Consider the following 15,096-nt stretch of genomic DNA (forward strand, 5'->3'; position numbering starts at 1 on the left):
TTATTTCATTAAATAGGTTTTCTATGCCTTTGGACATCTTTTGCCCTTCTGGAACTCCCCAAATTGGTATATTTGGTCACTTTATGATGTCTTATATTTAACATAGGATTTCTTCTTTCTTTCTTATTCCTTTTTTTTTTTTTTTTTTGCCTGACTAGGTTATTTCAAAGACCTGTATTCAAGTTTTAAAATTCTTTATTCTGGCCAGGCACAGTGGCTCACACCTGTAGTCCCAGCACTTTAGGAGGCCGAAGCGGGTGGATCATGAGGTCAGGAGATTGAGACCATCCTGGCTAACACAGTGAAACCCTGTCTCTACTAAAAATACAAAAAATTAGCCAGGTCTGGTGGCGTGTCTGTAGTCCTAGCTACTTGGGAGGCTGAGGCAGGAGAATCACTTGAACTCAGGAGGCAGAAGTTGCAGTGAGCTGAGATCTCACCACCGCACTCCAGCCTGGTGACAGAGCAAGACTCCGTCTCAAAAAAAATAATTCTTTATTCTGTTTGATCTAGCATATTGTTGAAGCTCTTGATTGTATTTTTTAATTTCATTCATTGAATTCTTCAGTTCCAAAATTTCTGTTTGGTTCTTTTTATCTGTCTCTTTGTTGAATTTCTCACTCAGATCATGAATTATTTTTCTGATTTCTTTGTATTGTTTATTTGTGTTTTCCTGTATCTCACTGAACTTCTTTAATATCATTATATTGAATTCTTTCTCAGGTATTTCATAGATTTCTTTTTTTGTTGGAATGTGTTGCTGGAGAATTATTATTATTATTATTATTATGATTTTATTTTTTGAAATGGAGTTTTGCTCTTGTTGCCCATGCTGGAGTGCAATGGCGCAATCTCAGTTCACCACAACCTCTGCCTCCCGGGTTCAAGTGATTCTCCTGCCTCAGCCTCCTGAGTAGCTGGGATTATAGGAATGTGCCACCATGCCCAGCTAATTTTTGTATTTTTAGTAGAGACAGGTTTCTCCATGTTGGTCAAGCTATCTCAAACTCACAACCTCAGGTGATCCACCCACCTTGGCCTCACAAAGTGCTGGGATTACAGGCGTGAGCCACCATGCCCAGTCACTGGAGAATTATTGTGTTCTTATTGTGTCCTTGCTTTTTTATATTCTTATGTCTTTATGTTTGTTTCTGTGCATCTGGTATAATAGTTGCTTCTCCAATTTTATGGATTGGCTTTTGTAGGGACAGAGTTTTTCCTATAGATGTATCTATAGTGTTGGTTGGGTTTGACTTTGGCTTTGATTCTGAGTGGACACAGCAGTGTGGTCTCCATATGATTTCTTCAGCTGTAATCAGCATCAGTCATGTCTGTGAGTTAGTCAGTGACTTAGGCTATTAATGGAGGATATGGTGAGGCTTTGCTGGGGACAGGGATGCCAGATGGGCCAGTCCTCGGGTACCAGTGGTGGTGATAGCAGGCTAGGCATGCCAGCTTTTGGGCCCCTGGGTGGCATTAACAAGCACTCATGGTAGAAGGTCTGGGTGGGCCAATCCTTGGTCAGTGGTAGCAGTGGGCCAGGTGGGTGGGTCCTCAGGCCCTAAGTGGTGTGTGTGGCATCAGTGATGGCAGTAGCAGCAGTGGGCCAACTCTCAGGCCCCAGAGCTTCACATGGGAGTGCCAGTGGTGGTGGTGGTGGGCCAGTCCTCAGGTCCTCAGGTGGCACATTGGTGAGTTCTGGCAGTGGTGGCAGGCTGGGTGGGCCTGCCCTCAGTTTCCCAAAAGGCAAATTTTAAAGGCAAATGTAGTCGTTGGCAGTGGTGGACAGGGTAGGGCAATCCATAAGCCTCCAGATGATGTGCATGGGTGCTGGGAGTGGCAAGCAGGGCAGGCCTATCTTCAGATCCCTTGATAATGTGTGTGAGCACAGGGGTGGGCTGATCCCCAAGCCCCCGATGGTGCATGTGAGCACTGGCAGTGGGTGGGGCAGGTCTGTTGTCAGGCCCCCCTGATGGTACATGCAGCCATCGGTGTTAGTGGATGGGGCAGGTTGATCCCTAAATCCCCCCAACGACACACTTGGTTGCCAGTGGTGGTGGCAACACGTTGGTTAGGCCTGTCCTTAGACCCCTGGAAGATGTGTATGGGAGCCAGTGGTGACTGGTGGGTGAGTCAAACCCCAGATCCCTCGACAGGATACATGGGCACCAGTGGTGGTGGGTGGGGCAGGCCTGTCCTCAGGCCCCATGACAGCACCTGGTGGGCTGATCTTCAGGCCCCCTGAAGGTGTATATGGGTGTCTGGTGGCCCTGCTGCTGGGGAAGTGGCAGAGTTGCTGACAGTGGCAGCAGCTGCAGGCAGGTGGCTCTTGGGTTCTGGGGAGCTTGTGCGTCAGCCCCTTTTTCCTGGGGACAGCCTCCCTGGCGCACTGCATCACCTGTTCCCCAGGGTGTAGGACACTGTGTGGGTTAGAGTGCTTGGACCCACCTGCACCACTGAGTCCAGCCAGTGTTGTGAACCTGCATCCTTTTAAGTAGGCATGAGGGGTGGGTGTTAGCAGGGCTCCAGGGATGTGAAGAAGCAGGGGATGTTGGGCCCCAGGGCAAGATATAGTCTGACGGGGGCTGGGCTCGCAACATGGCACCATGCTGCAGCTGCTTGGGTCTGAGGGGCTGGAGGGTGTGCGATTCAGTGTGAACTCCTTCTCTGGAACAATACTGTTATGTGGAGTCTGGGTAGCTTCCTATACTAGTCTCAGGGCCCAAATGGCTCTCCCATGGCTAGCATTACGAAAGTCTGCAGTGGAATATGGACCACTGGGGATCTCTCAATTACCTTTTCCCATATTGGGAAGTTTCTCCTGGCTCCAAGCTGACCCTGGCAGGGCCAACTGCTTTGTTTCCCTTTATTTTCATGCCTCGGAGATCCTCTGTCCCTCTTTTGTTGAATTCCAGTGTTCTTTCTTTGATGCTCTATTCAACTTGAGGCAGGAGAATCACTTGAACTCAGGAGGCAGAGGTTGCAGTGAGCTGAGATCTCACCACTGCACTCCAGCCTGGCGACAGAGCAAGACTCCATCTCAAAAAAAATAATTCTTTATTCTGTTTGATCTAGCATATTGTTGAAGCTCTTGATTGTATTTTTTAATTTCATTCATTGAATGAATTTAGTCTCACTCTATTGCCCAGGCTAGAGTGTGGTTGTATGATAATGGCTCAATGCAGTCTCAACGTCCTGGGCTCAAGTGATCCTCCCACCTCAGCCTCCTGAGTAGCTGGGACTACAGGCACACACCACCATGCCCAGCTAATTTTCTCTATTTTTCGTAGAGACTTGGTCTCCCTGTGTTGTTCAGGCTGGTCTTGAACTCTTAGGCTCAAGTGATCCTCCCATCTTCGCCTCCCAAAGTGCTAGGATTACAGGTGTGACCTACCATGCCAGCCAGCCTACAATAATTCTTAAAGCAGGTGAATGTATTAATCACAATTCTAAGTGGTAGAGACCCATTCAAACTAGTTTATGCAAAAACCAAGGCATTTAATGGTTACAACACCAAATCACAGGAGTGGATGTGACTTCAGAGATGATTAGATCCAGGGAGCCAGATGCTATCAACACTCTCCTCTTGCTTTATCCCTTGTCTCCTCCTCTTTGTCTCTCTCTCTCATTGACCTTGTTAGACACTGGCAATCCTAGACTCACATTCTTATAGCATTGTAACCAATGAGGAGAGAGCACTTCTAACTCCAGTGCAGGGAATCCCAGGCCTATCCTGGACCACTTGCTTATCCTTCATTTGGTGGGTAGGGTTATGCACCATTGCATTTGCCTGGCCTGGTCAGCACCCATCCCTGTGGTGGTCAGAGAGTGCTGTGGATACTGTAAGTAGCTTTATGGTTGAGGGAAAGAGGCATGGTTTTCCAAGAGAAGAAGGGTGTGGTTCTGGGAAGACAAACAATAGACATTCACTAGTTTGCAGATGAAACAGGCTCAGAGAGGCTAGGCACAGCGCTCACTCAAGGTCACACAACTATCAAGGAGCAGAGAAGAAATCCTTTTAGGTTTCAAGACACACCGACTCCCTAAGTGACCAGGTGTGGTGAATGGCATGGGTTGCTGAGGTGTACTGTGGAATTTTCAGCAAAGACCTCACTAAGGTATTTGTATTTCTGAATTGATGTTTATCCTCCTCAAAGGGAAAGGGAGGGACGTGGTGACTACTTGGTGTCCTGCAGGCCTAGATGAGTGGGTGAGCATCACAATTATCCTTTTGTCCATGTTTCTTCCTCCTCTTTTTGTATTCCTTTCGCAACATAAAAGGGTTAAGATATGAGACACTCTACAAATGCAAACCCAGATTATAGGGCTTATGTCTCCTTTGAAGGATGTGGTAGCATTTAGCATTTTAAAAATGGTATTTAATAGACTTGACCCAGAGAGGGAGAGTGAGCCGGAGAGCATGTTCATAAATCTCAGCTTACCCCAGTGTCTGTCTGAATAAACGTCTTCAAATTAAACTGTGGTTGGGTGGGAAGTGACTTCTTTATGTAGGTGAATCCATCAGTCCTCCTAACCTTTCTTGGAGGGATGTGATTATTGTTTTTTTCCAGTGCATTTAGGGAAACCAGATGTTCAATGCTTAATGAATGAGTAGGGAAAGTAGATGTTCAATGCTTAATGAGTGAGTAGGGAAAGCAGATGTTCAATGCTTAATGAATGAGTAGGGAAAGCAGATGTTCAATGCTTAATGAATGAGTAGGGAAAGCAGATGTTCAATGCTTAATGAATGAGTAGGGAAAGCAGATGTTGAATGCTTAATGAATGAGTAGGGAAAGCAGATGTTGAATGCTTAATGAATGAGTAGGGAAAGCAGATGTTCAATGCTTAATGAACGAGTAGGGAAAGCAGATGTTGAATGCTTAATGAATGAGTAGGGAAAGCAGATGTTGAATGCTTAATGAATGAGTAGGGAAAGCAGATGTTCAATGCTTAATGAATGAGTAGGGAAAGCAGATGTTCAATGCTTAATGAATGAGTAGGGAAAGCAGATGTTCAATGCTTAATGAATGAGTAGGGAAAGCAGATGTTCAATGCTTAATGAATGAGTAGGGAAAGCAGATGTTCAATGCTTAATGAATGAGTAGGGAAAGCAGATGTTCAATGCTTAATGAATGAGTAGGGAAAGCAGATGTTCAATGCTTAATGAATGAGTAGGGAAAGCAGATGTTCAATGCTTAATGAATGAGTAGGGAAAGCAGATGTTCAATGCTTAATGAATGAGTAAGGAAAGCAGATGTTCAATGCTCTTAATGAATGAGTAGGGAAAGCAGATGTTGAATGCTTAATGAATGAGTAGGGAAAGCAGATGTTCAATGCTTAATGAATGAGTAGGGAAAGCAGATGTTCAGTGCTTAATGAATGAGTAGGGAAAGCAGATGTTCAATGCTTAATGAATGAGTAGGGAAAGAAGATGTTCAATGCTTAATGAGTAGGGAAAGCAGATGTTCAATGCTTAATGAATGAGTAGGGAAAGCAGATGTTCAATGCTTAATGAATGAGCTGCAAAATGGGTCCACTAAAGTATTTTGGGGTCAGTTGTTTCTCTCCAGCTGTGTGGAGGGCAGAGACAGCAGCAACTTCTACAAGTGGCTTGTAAGTCTGGGGACATGCAGGCCACTTCTCTTGTCTCTTCAGGTGCTAGACAGAGGAAAGGGCAGGTGTTTCATTGTTAATAGAAGATTCTAGTGCTTGGCGTCTGTGCTCACTCTAAGAAAGCCAGCCAGATAGCCATTCCTGCCTCTCTATGCCCTTTCCTTCAGTTTTTCTGATACCTAAATGTCAAGTCATCTCCTTGGGAGAGAGTTGGTGGTCTGGTTAAGAGGGAAGGTCAGTGTGAAGACTGAAGAGCTGTTACCACTTTAGAATCCTTGAGCCTGTTCAGATTATCCAAATGAATAACAGTGTTAAGGAAAAGTATGGCATGTAAGTTTTTGTTTCAAAGCACTTCAGAGGCTATTGCCTTGAAAAGCAACTTGCATTTTGCCTAGAAGGCTAATTACAAAACATATTAAGTGTGGGAATGCTGAAGGATAACTTCAATTTTTAATTTTCCTTATTGCTAAGCTATTTAATCCTGTGGACTAGGGAAAGGAAATATAAGGAAAAGAGTCACCCTTTTTATCTTTATCATTTTAAAGAGCTTTTTAGCTCCTATGGGCCAGCCTTGGCTGTGGCAACACCATTTGTTCACTCATTCATTCATCTGACAGAAGTTTTCAAATACATGCCACATGCCATGTAGTGCATTGGAGACACAGTAAGGAACATGACTTGGTTCCTGCACTCAAGGAGCTCAACAGAGGGCTGTTGGCAAACTCAGAAAAGGCCATTTGTTTGTGCCTGGTCCGGGCATGACTAGGGGACATTTATAGAAGAGAGGTTGCCGTAGAACTGGTGTTGGAGAAAGGGCAGGAGTGATGCATTGGACAAAGAGCAGGAAGATCTTCCAGGTGGGGGAAACATTGCATGAAAAGACACAGGACTATAGGAGACTCTGATGCATTTGGGGAACTATACATAATTGAAGCAAGTTATCTGTGCCTGAGATATGTCTTGGCTGGGGTTGTCTCTTGGCTCAATGCCACAAGAAGGAAGGGGGCTGAGAAAAGTGGCAGTCAGCTACATCAAAACGACTCTGCAGCTCACCCCGACTGGTCTTCTTTCCCCTCCAGCTCCTACCTATTTTGACGCATGGGAAGTATTCCCAACAGGGTTTGAGTCAGGGGCCCTTGCCAACATTGATAATTAACTGAAGAAAGTACAGAAGAAGTAAGAATGAATCTTGTGTTTATTAAATTGGTATCGGTAGAACACAACATTATGAGGGGGCGGAATGAGAAACTGAAGCGTGGGGAAATTGAATGTGGTCCCTGCAGTCGTTTTGTTTTTAGTTGCAGTTAGGATACTAATTCAAGGTGGTGTTTGATGTTTCAAAACAAACTATGAAAACATGAGGGAGTGATAATAAATGACAAGCCCATGCAGTCCAGGGGTCACTTTCAAATGTAAAGGCATTTCTGCCATTTATGGTGGTTTTATGTGAAAAGTGAAATTTTGAACTGAAGGTGAGGATTAAGGTGTAAGAGGAAAACATGTGAAGCAAAGATTCCATTATTTTTTCTGAATAGGTGTCAGAACCTCAAAGATAACACCATTGGCATCGAGGAGAATGCAGTCTCCCTGACCTGTCGCTTTCACGTCACCGTCTTTAAATTCATAGGGGATTACGACGAAGTTCACCTTCACTGTGCAGTGTCACTCTGCGACTCAGAAAAGTACTCCTGTAAAATCGTAAGTGAGAGTGTGAAAACAAAGTGCTTAGCCTTATTTCTCACTGTCTTGGTTTCCCAACATGAGGATCGTGAATGCCAGGTGACCGGACTGGAATCATCCATAGATGCTTGGGGTGGACAGTCATCTTTGATGGGACAGTGAGAGAAAACGCAGGGAAATATATCTATTTACTCTTCTATCTCTGAATTGTCAACCAGTCATTGGCTTAACGCTAGACTAGGGTTTCTCAAAGCTCGGCACTGTTGACGTTTTGGACTGAATAATTCTTTGTTGTGGAGGACTGTTCTGTGCACTGTAGGATGTTAGCAACATCCCTCACCTCTACCCATGGATACCAGTCACATCTTCCCCCAGTTTCAACACCCAAAATGTCTCCAGATGTTGCCAGTTGGCCTGGTTGAGAACCACTGCACTAGAGTCTCAAGGAGCCAGGCGGCCTGACTCTAATGACCACTGGGCCAAGTTCCACTCCACTATAGAACCAAACTCTTGAGCTCAGGATACAATGTATCCAGGTGTCCTGCATCACACCTGATCTACATCAGACTCTGGAGGGGGTGAGGGATGAGGTAGCAAACCAATGATCTCTTCTGTGCCAGGCTTCCACCTCCACCACTTACGGGCTGGGTCCTTAAGATTTGATTGCACCAATACCTGGCCCCTAGCCTTTAACATTGCAGCTTTATGCTTACACCATATTTGCAGAATCAAGATGTGAATTATGGTCAGAGCAACTTACAGATGATACTGCATACATTAGTGTCTGATGAGACACAGCAATCCTATTCCTGGGCAGGGAGCCTCTTTGAATCTAATTCCAGTGTGGATCAATCAGAAATGAAGGAGAGGTTTTTAAAAAGGAAAATTACTAATTCCAGTGTGGAGAGTGTATTTAATTCTGTTCAACATACAGCCTAGAGTCCCAGTGGATTCAATGATCAAGAATGCATTGGTTCTAATTAATCTGAGCCTCCATAATGCTTGAGGCCAGAGCCACTGCCTCTTTTAGAGGTGAAACATGGTGAAGAATAAGTTATCAGCTTAATTGTGTGAAAATTTCCCCCTGGTATTCTGTCTTGCAGACTTGCCCACACAATTCCAGGATTGCCACAGATTACACAAAAGAGCCCAAAGAACAGATCATTTCAGTGGGACCTATTAGGAGAAAAAGTATGTATGTTCCCTAAAACACACCCTAAATTATTAAAACAACGGGATTTCAAGGCTCAGATGTGTTTCACCTCTGATGTGGGTCCAGTGGACAAGGAGGCTGGTGTTGGGGACACCGGTTTGAGAACATCACCTGCTTCCTTAAAGACATCTTTTCATTTACTTATAAACATTCAGCAATGGCATTGAGGTTTTCTTTGTCCTCCTCTTTTTTTTTTTTCTTTGAGACGGAGTCTTTCTCTGTCGCCCAAGCTGGAGAGCGGTGGCGCAATCTTGGCTCACTGCAAGCTCCGCCTCCCGGGTTCACGCCATTCTCCTGCCTCAGCCTCCCGAGTAGCTGGGACTACAGGTGCCCGCCCCCACGCCCGGCTAATTTTTTTGTATTTTTAGTAGAGACGGGGTTTCACTGTGTTAGCCAGGATGGTCTCGATCTCCTGACCGCGTGATCCACCCGCCTCGGCCTCCCAAAGTGCTGGGATTACAGGCGTGAGCCACCGCGCCCAGCCTGTCCTCCTCTCTTTTTAAAGCCCTTCCCTTCAATACCAGTGGAAGGGTTGAACTGTCTGTAGTTAATCTTCCTAACTGCTCTTTTGTAGGGCTGGACTGGTGTGAGGACAATGGAGGGTGTGAGCAGATTTGCACGAGCCGGGTGGATGGGCCTCTCTGCAGCTGTGTAACAGGAACCCTGCAGGAGGACGGCAAGAGCTGCAGAGGTAGACACTCTTCTACCCTGGGGCAGGCAGCTGGGAGACACGGGAGGTTCTTTACCACCAGAAGGAGAAATTCAGATTTGAAGGCCACTCGGTCAGCAACTCTCCCTCGAAAACTCCAGAAATTAAGAAGGAAAGATGGGGAACATGCCCAAGGAATTCTAGGGCCATTAAACAAACAAACAAACAACAACAACAAAAAAACCTTGCTCTTTCATCTAAAATATAAAGGTAATTTAAAAAAACAAGTTATCCAGCCAATTTTAAGGACCATATATTGGCCTACATCTGGCTGCCAAGTCTACTTGGGCTAAGGTTGGGATTGGGATGCTTCCTCCAGCAAACAAGCCTTAGCATATGGTTTCCCTGACCTCTTACAAGGTTGGCAGGACTCTCTTCCTTTTTGAGATGGAGTCTCGCTCTGTTGCCCAGACTGGAGTGCAGTGGCATGATCTTGGCTCACTGCAACCTCTGCCTCCCGGGTTCAAGCGATTCTCCTGCCTCAACCACCGGAGTAACTGGGACTACAGGCACACGCCACCACGCCCAGCTAATTTTTGTATTTTTAGTAGAGATGGGGTTTCACCATATTGGCCAGGCTGGTCTCAAACTCCTGACCTCATGATCCGCCTGTGTTGGCCTCCCAAAGTAGGACTCTCTTAAGATTGGATTAATTCTGCTACTTTGCTGCCTTAGGGCCATTTAGGTAAAATGGGTTCTTGGCAATGAAGTTTCCTTTCTTTAGCTGAGTGCTGCAAAGATGTCTGATCCCTATCAAACAGGTATTTTTCCCCCCATAGGGCTTACTGTGTTCCTCTCTGTTTACAGCCTCTAATTCTTCAATGGAACTTCAAGTCTGGACGCTTCTTCTCATCATGATCCAGATTTCATTATGGCATTTTGTCTATAAATCAGGCACGACCTCATAATTAACTCAAGGTTGCTATATAAAGTACTGTAATTTACTTACTTCAACACCCTGTAGGATAAAAAGTGTGTGCCCTTAAGTCAAAACCTATTTGAAAGTGTCCAGCATCTCAAAATGATGCCACCTGCCTCCAATGGTCCAAGGTCCAGAAACCAGCGACCATCCAAGCTCCTCTTTCAGAGTATGAAACGGGGCTTCTACAAGCCAGTTATGGAAAGTATCTCTCTTGTGTAAAATTCCCAAACAGTTGTCACTAGAGACTTTGGTTCACATGAAAAACCAGTAAAGGAAAAAAATTCTGGTTAGAGAAATCTGACTGGAAATCTGACCAGAGAAATCTGTCAAGCCAGTGCTATTTCTGGATCACAGTTTTTTACAGAGAGAGGGCCTGTTGGAACGATTTTGAAGTGATGACTGGAAGGTTTGACTCCCTCTAAGGAATCTTGCTGGTGTTTGGAAGTGTCCGATCTACGTTATGCACGTGTTCTGTCTATGAGGCGCTTCTCCACCCACTGTGTCCTTCAACCTTGCCATGGCAGCTTTGGCCACTGGGGATATTGTTGACCTGGGGAACCCCACCCACTCTCCTACCCCCTCGAACCCAATCCCTTCTCTTTTTACAAATCAACCAAATACTTTTTAATGTGTTTTATCCTTAAATAAACTTTGTGTTCAAGTATTCTCATTACTTGGTGGCTGGAATCATTCTTATTGATGTTAAGCTTTGTACACTAAATAGCATGCCATGAATTTTTTTTTTAAAGAAGTAGCAGCAATTGGACCAGGAAGGCACTGTTGGCCAGAACATTAATGCACCATTATATTGTTGTTCATGTGTACTTACAGAGCATTAGCAGAGCATTAAGGTTCGGTGTAGAAGAGAAGCAGGCAGCATCCTCTTTTGTAAGTGGTACAAAAACACGTATCTGCTATAATTAACTACAAAATGGAAGGCCTGCTAAATATATCCCTGGAGTGCTTTGCTTTCTAAGGGCAAAAACAAAGTAAAACCCACTTCAGGTTTATTTTGAAGTTGTCTTGGATTTAAACGGATAGCATTTTTATATTTTTCTGGGAACGCTGAAAAGCTGAGCAAAAATGCTTAGTGTTCTTTGAACATGAGTGTGAGTGAAATGGCCATTGTCTCATATGTCAAAGCACTGGCATCACACTGTCACTGGGCTGAAGAAGTGCGGTGTAGACTGAGTGTGCACTGAGCTGTTTTGTTCTCCCAGCCCCCTGGGAGAGTCAACACATTCGAGCTTATCTCAGCAGTCACACATGCTGTGCAGCTGAGCGGACAACTGGTATTGATGGAGAAAAATATGTGTCTGCTTCTGCTTGGACATCTTAAGATCTTTTGGGGAAATGCTGAGCACTGAGATGGATTAAGGAGTCAAGCCATTGTCTATTCTAGCTGAGACACAGTACTTCGTCCTCAGCAAGATAGAAATGGATGTTAGGTGTGTGATCTTTTTTTTTTTGAGACGGAGTCTGGCTCTATCGCCCAGGCTGGAGTGCAGTGGCACGATCTTGGCTCACTGCAAGCTCTGCCTCCCAGATTCACGCCATTCTCCTGCCTCAGCCTCCCAGAATAGCTGGGACTACAGGCACCCGCCACCATGCCCCGCTAATGTTTTGTATTTTTTTAGTAGAGACGGGGTTTCACCATGTTAGCCAGGATGGTCTCAATCTCCTGACTTCGCAATCTGCCTGCCTCGGCCTCCCAAAGTGCTGGGATTACAGGCATGAGCCACTGCGCCTGCTCTAAGTGTGTGTTCTTTGTTTGCATGAAAACCTGGATTCCATACTATCCCATACTTCAAGATCAGAGGATTCAGATGAGCTTATGCACCATTTCCATTCATGCCATTAAAGGTTTAGGCTTTTGAAATCAAACAGATTATGAGCTAAATATAATAATGTGTCATTTATGGTTTTACCTGAGATCCTTAGATGATTTTTTTTTTTCCCCTGAGACAGGGTCTCACTCCTGTTGCCAAGGCTGGAGTCTATTAGCATGATCTTGGCTCATTGCAGCCTCGACTTTCTGTGCTCAAGTGATCCTACTACTTCAACCTTCTTAGTAGCTGGGACTACAGGCATGCACCACCATGCCCAGCTAATTTTTTATATTTTTAGTAGAGATGAGGTTTTACCATGTTGCCCAGGCTGGTCTCGAACTCCCGGGCTCAGGCAACCCACTCACCTTGGCCTCCTAAAGTGCTGGGATTATGGGCGTGAGCCAACACACCTGCCTTTTTAGATGAATTTTAACTGAAAACATACAAGGAGGAAATGGTGTATTACTTACTTGACAACACCTCTTTATTGATTCCCATATTAAAGTCATTAGAAATTCCTCGATTAAAAATTCTAGTTTTTTTTCTTAAAGCTTTTTACTTGAAATCCTTTTTGCCACACTTTCATTCTTGGCTTTTGGTTTTCTCACTTGGTTGGCATCCTTCACATGTCTACCATCAAGATAAACCTGGTTGTAATGCCACAACAGAAAACCCCAGGCCAGGTGTGGTGGCTTATACCTATAATTCCGGCACTTTGGGAGACCCAGGCAGACAGATCACCTGAGCCCAGGATATTGAGACTAGCCTGAGCAACATAGTGAGAGCCCATCTCCACAAAAAAAATACAAAAATTAGCCAGGGGTGGTGGCGCATGCCTGTAGTCTCAGCTACTTGGGAGGCTCAGTTGGGAGGATCGCTTGAGCCTGGGCGGTTGAGGCTGCAGTGAGCCATGATCATGGCACTGCAATCCAGCCTGGACAACAGAATGAGATTTTTGTCTCAAAAAAGGAGAACACCCCCACAATCTCAGTGACTTAACAAAGGTTTCTTTCTTACTCACACAAGTCGCCCCTGCTTTCATTGTCATCCTGGAATGGAAGTTGCTGGAGGCTTTATTATCCTTCAATGTTGTCAGCTCAATGTGTGGCTTCAAGATTCACCTTTGCAAGGGAAGACAGCCTGGAGAATCCCACCGTAGCTCTTCCGTGCTTCTGCCTGAAGTGACACATATCGCTTCTGTTCCCACTTCATTGGTCAATGACAGCCAGATGGCTGTAACTGACTTTTAGAGATGAGGAAGCACAAACATCCCGTGTGCCTGGAAGGCAGAAGAACTGGAAATCAGTGGTGATGGTGCTCACATTGCCTTTGAGTCCGTCACTTCTATCTGGATTAAAGAGAAATACTTCTACAGAACTGAAAACAAACGGGCCCTTTAGTTGACTTCCTGGAAGGCAGAAGAACTGAGAGATGATCCTGACTCTTCCACTAATTCTCTACTTGAAACACAAATTATTACATGCCTCAATACCTTAATTTTCCTCTAGGTAACATAAGAACATGAAGCTTCTTTTCATATGTTCTTATGTCACAAAGTGGCACTAGACACTTGAACTGGGGAACCCCACCCACTCTCCTACCCCCTCGAACCCAATCCCTTCTCTTTTTACAAAGAGAAGCCATATGATAGTATATGTTAAGATAACTTCAGAGCATTGCCTTTTCCTGCTGCTCTAAAAGATTTACTTGCGGGGTGAAGGGGTGAGAAAGTGCATGCTTAGCAAAGGTTGAAAACGAAGTTAATTGGGAATCTTATTGACTTGGTATTTGTTTGATATCAAAAGAAACATCTTGGGGTCTGACATTTGTGACCACTGGGAATTCTGTAATTAGTTTCTCAACCAGTAGTAGGTATGTATTCTACTCAAAATTCTAACGACAAAACTTGAGAGCGCTAATTGTTTAACATTGTCTAATATTCTAGCTATTTTTAGAACCATTTGACATTTAGTGGGAGCTTGAAATCTAATAAAATTTCTTTCAACCAGAGGAATTAAGTAATTATCAAAAGACAATCATGAAGGGCTAGGGTAATAAAAAATTACTTCTTTACTAATTCTGAATTAATTTACCATCCACCCTGTTTTGAACTTCCCAGCCTTTCTCCTAAAACTCAGGGGATCTCTACAGCTTGTACTTCATTGCAATTTGGGCCTGTTTAGAAGACCATGATGATATTTTGCAGTGCCCCATACGCTGACATCTGCAGCACAGTCCAGTGAAAAAGGAAATGAAACAGCGCCCTCTAGTGTCTGCTGTTTATTTTTGCATGAAGCTCAAATGTGTATTGAACCACACCAATCGAATTATGATTCCGGTCCCCCGCCCCACTACCACCCTGAAACCTTAGACGCAGGACATTATGAGAATATAGCTTTAGAAAACACATCAAATGCCAAGGACGTTTTCTGGAGAACAGTATGGGATTTATTTTTATGCATACCGTACGCATTACTCCAGGAAATACCAGCACTTGGCATCCCATGCAAATTTTGCCCTTAATATCCGTTTCTCTAATGTGTTGACAAAAATAGCTGTCAAGAAAAATTAAGTACCTCTTTAAGATGTTGAGAAATAAACAATCTGATCAAGAAAAACCCATGCAATATTTAGTGGTCTTTTCCCCCCAGCAGAATGTGAAATACTTTCACATGCACCTACAGCACAACGGCAATAACTCTGTTCTGACTAATGGAAGGCTCTGTTTGTGATGGTTTAATTATGTTTGCTGAAATACGACTCTCATATAAGACAACATCTCCATGGCAGAGGGACAGATCTCTGTGTCTATAGATAGAAATAAAATACAAAAGACTCATCATTCCATGAAGAACTCAGCAATCAAATTCTATTTGCTAAGGAAACAAATGGAGGAAGAATGTTCACTGTACATTTCGTTGTGTGTTTCTGTTTGCATCTAGCCTCTAGGTTAGCTGTTGTTTTGTTCAGTAGCATAAGATACTGATGGTGAAATAATTTTGAAATTAAGATAGTCTCCTATTGGACGAAATAACAATCCCTTACACAAATGTAGCATCTTTCATAACAAATGCTTTGCCACTGTATTTAATATTGTTCAGTCCTAGATCATGCTGCATTCTGACAGAGA

The 15,096-nt window shown here is 44.2% G+C and overlaps 2 protein-coding genes across 2 annotated transcripts in view; both read left to right on the plus strand.

The window, feature by feature from the left end:
- The window catches only part of TBCEL-TECTA (TBCEL-TECTA readthrough), a 167,389-nt gene extending 156,582 nt beyond the window's left edge, over positions 1-10,807 (plus strand). The window contains exons 27-30 of the mRNA NM_001378761.1: positions 7,149-7,311; positions 8,397-8,484; positions 9,081-9,197; positions 10,023-10,807. Coding sequence (NP_001365690.1) covers positions 7,149-7,311; positions 8,397-8,484; positions 9,081-9,197; positions 10,023-10,123 — 469 coding nt within the window. The 3' untranslated portion in view covers positions 10,124-10,807. The remainder of the gene's footprint in view (positions 1-7,148; positions 7,312-8,396; positions 8,485-9,080; positions 9,198-10,022) is intronic.
- The window catches only part of TECTA (tectorin alpha), a 90,248-nt gene extending 79,441 nt beyond the window's left edge, over positions 1-10,807 (plus strand). Inside the window, exons 21-24 of the mRNA NM_005422.4 lie at positions 7,149-7,311; positions 8,397-8,484; positions 9,081-9,197; positions 10,023-10,807. Coding sequence (NP_005413.2) covers positions 7,149-7,311; positions 8,397-8,484; positions 9,081-9,197; positions 10,023-10,123 — 469 coding nt within the window. The 3' untranslated portion in view covers positions 10,124-10,807. The remainder of the gene's footprint in view (positions 1-7,148; positions 7,312-8,396; positions 8,485-9,080; positions 9,198-10,022) is intronic.

The sequence above is a fragment of the Homo sapiens genome, chromosome 11 (genome assembly GCF_000001405.40).
Source record: "Homo sapiens chromosome 11, GRCh38.p14 Primary Assembly".
Classification (NCBI taxonomy): domain Eukaryota; kingdom Metazoa; phylum Chordata; class Mammalia; order Primates; family Hominidae; genus Homo; species Homo sapiens.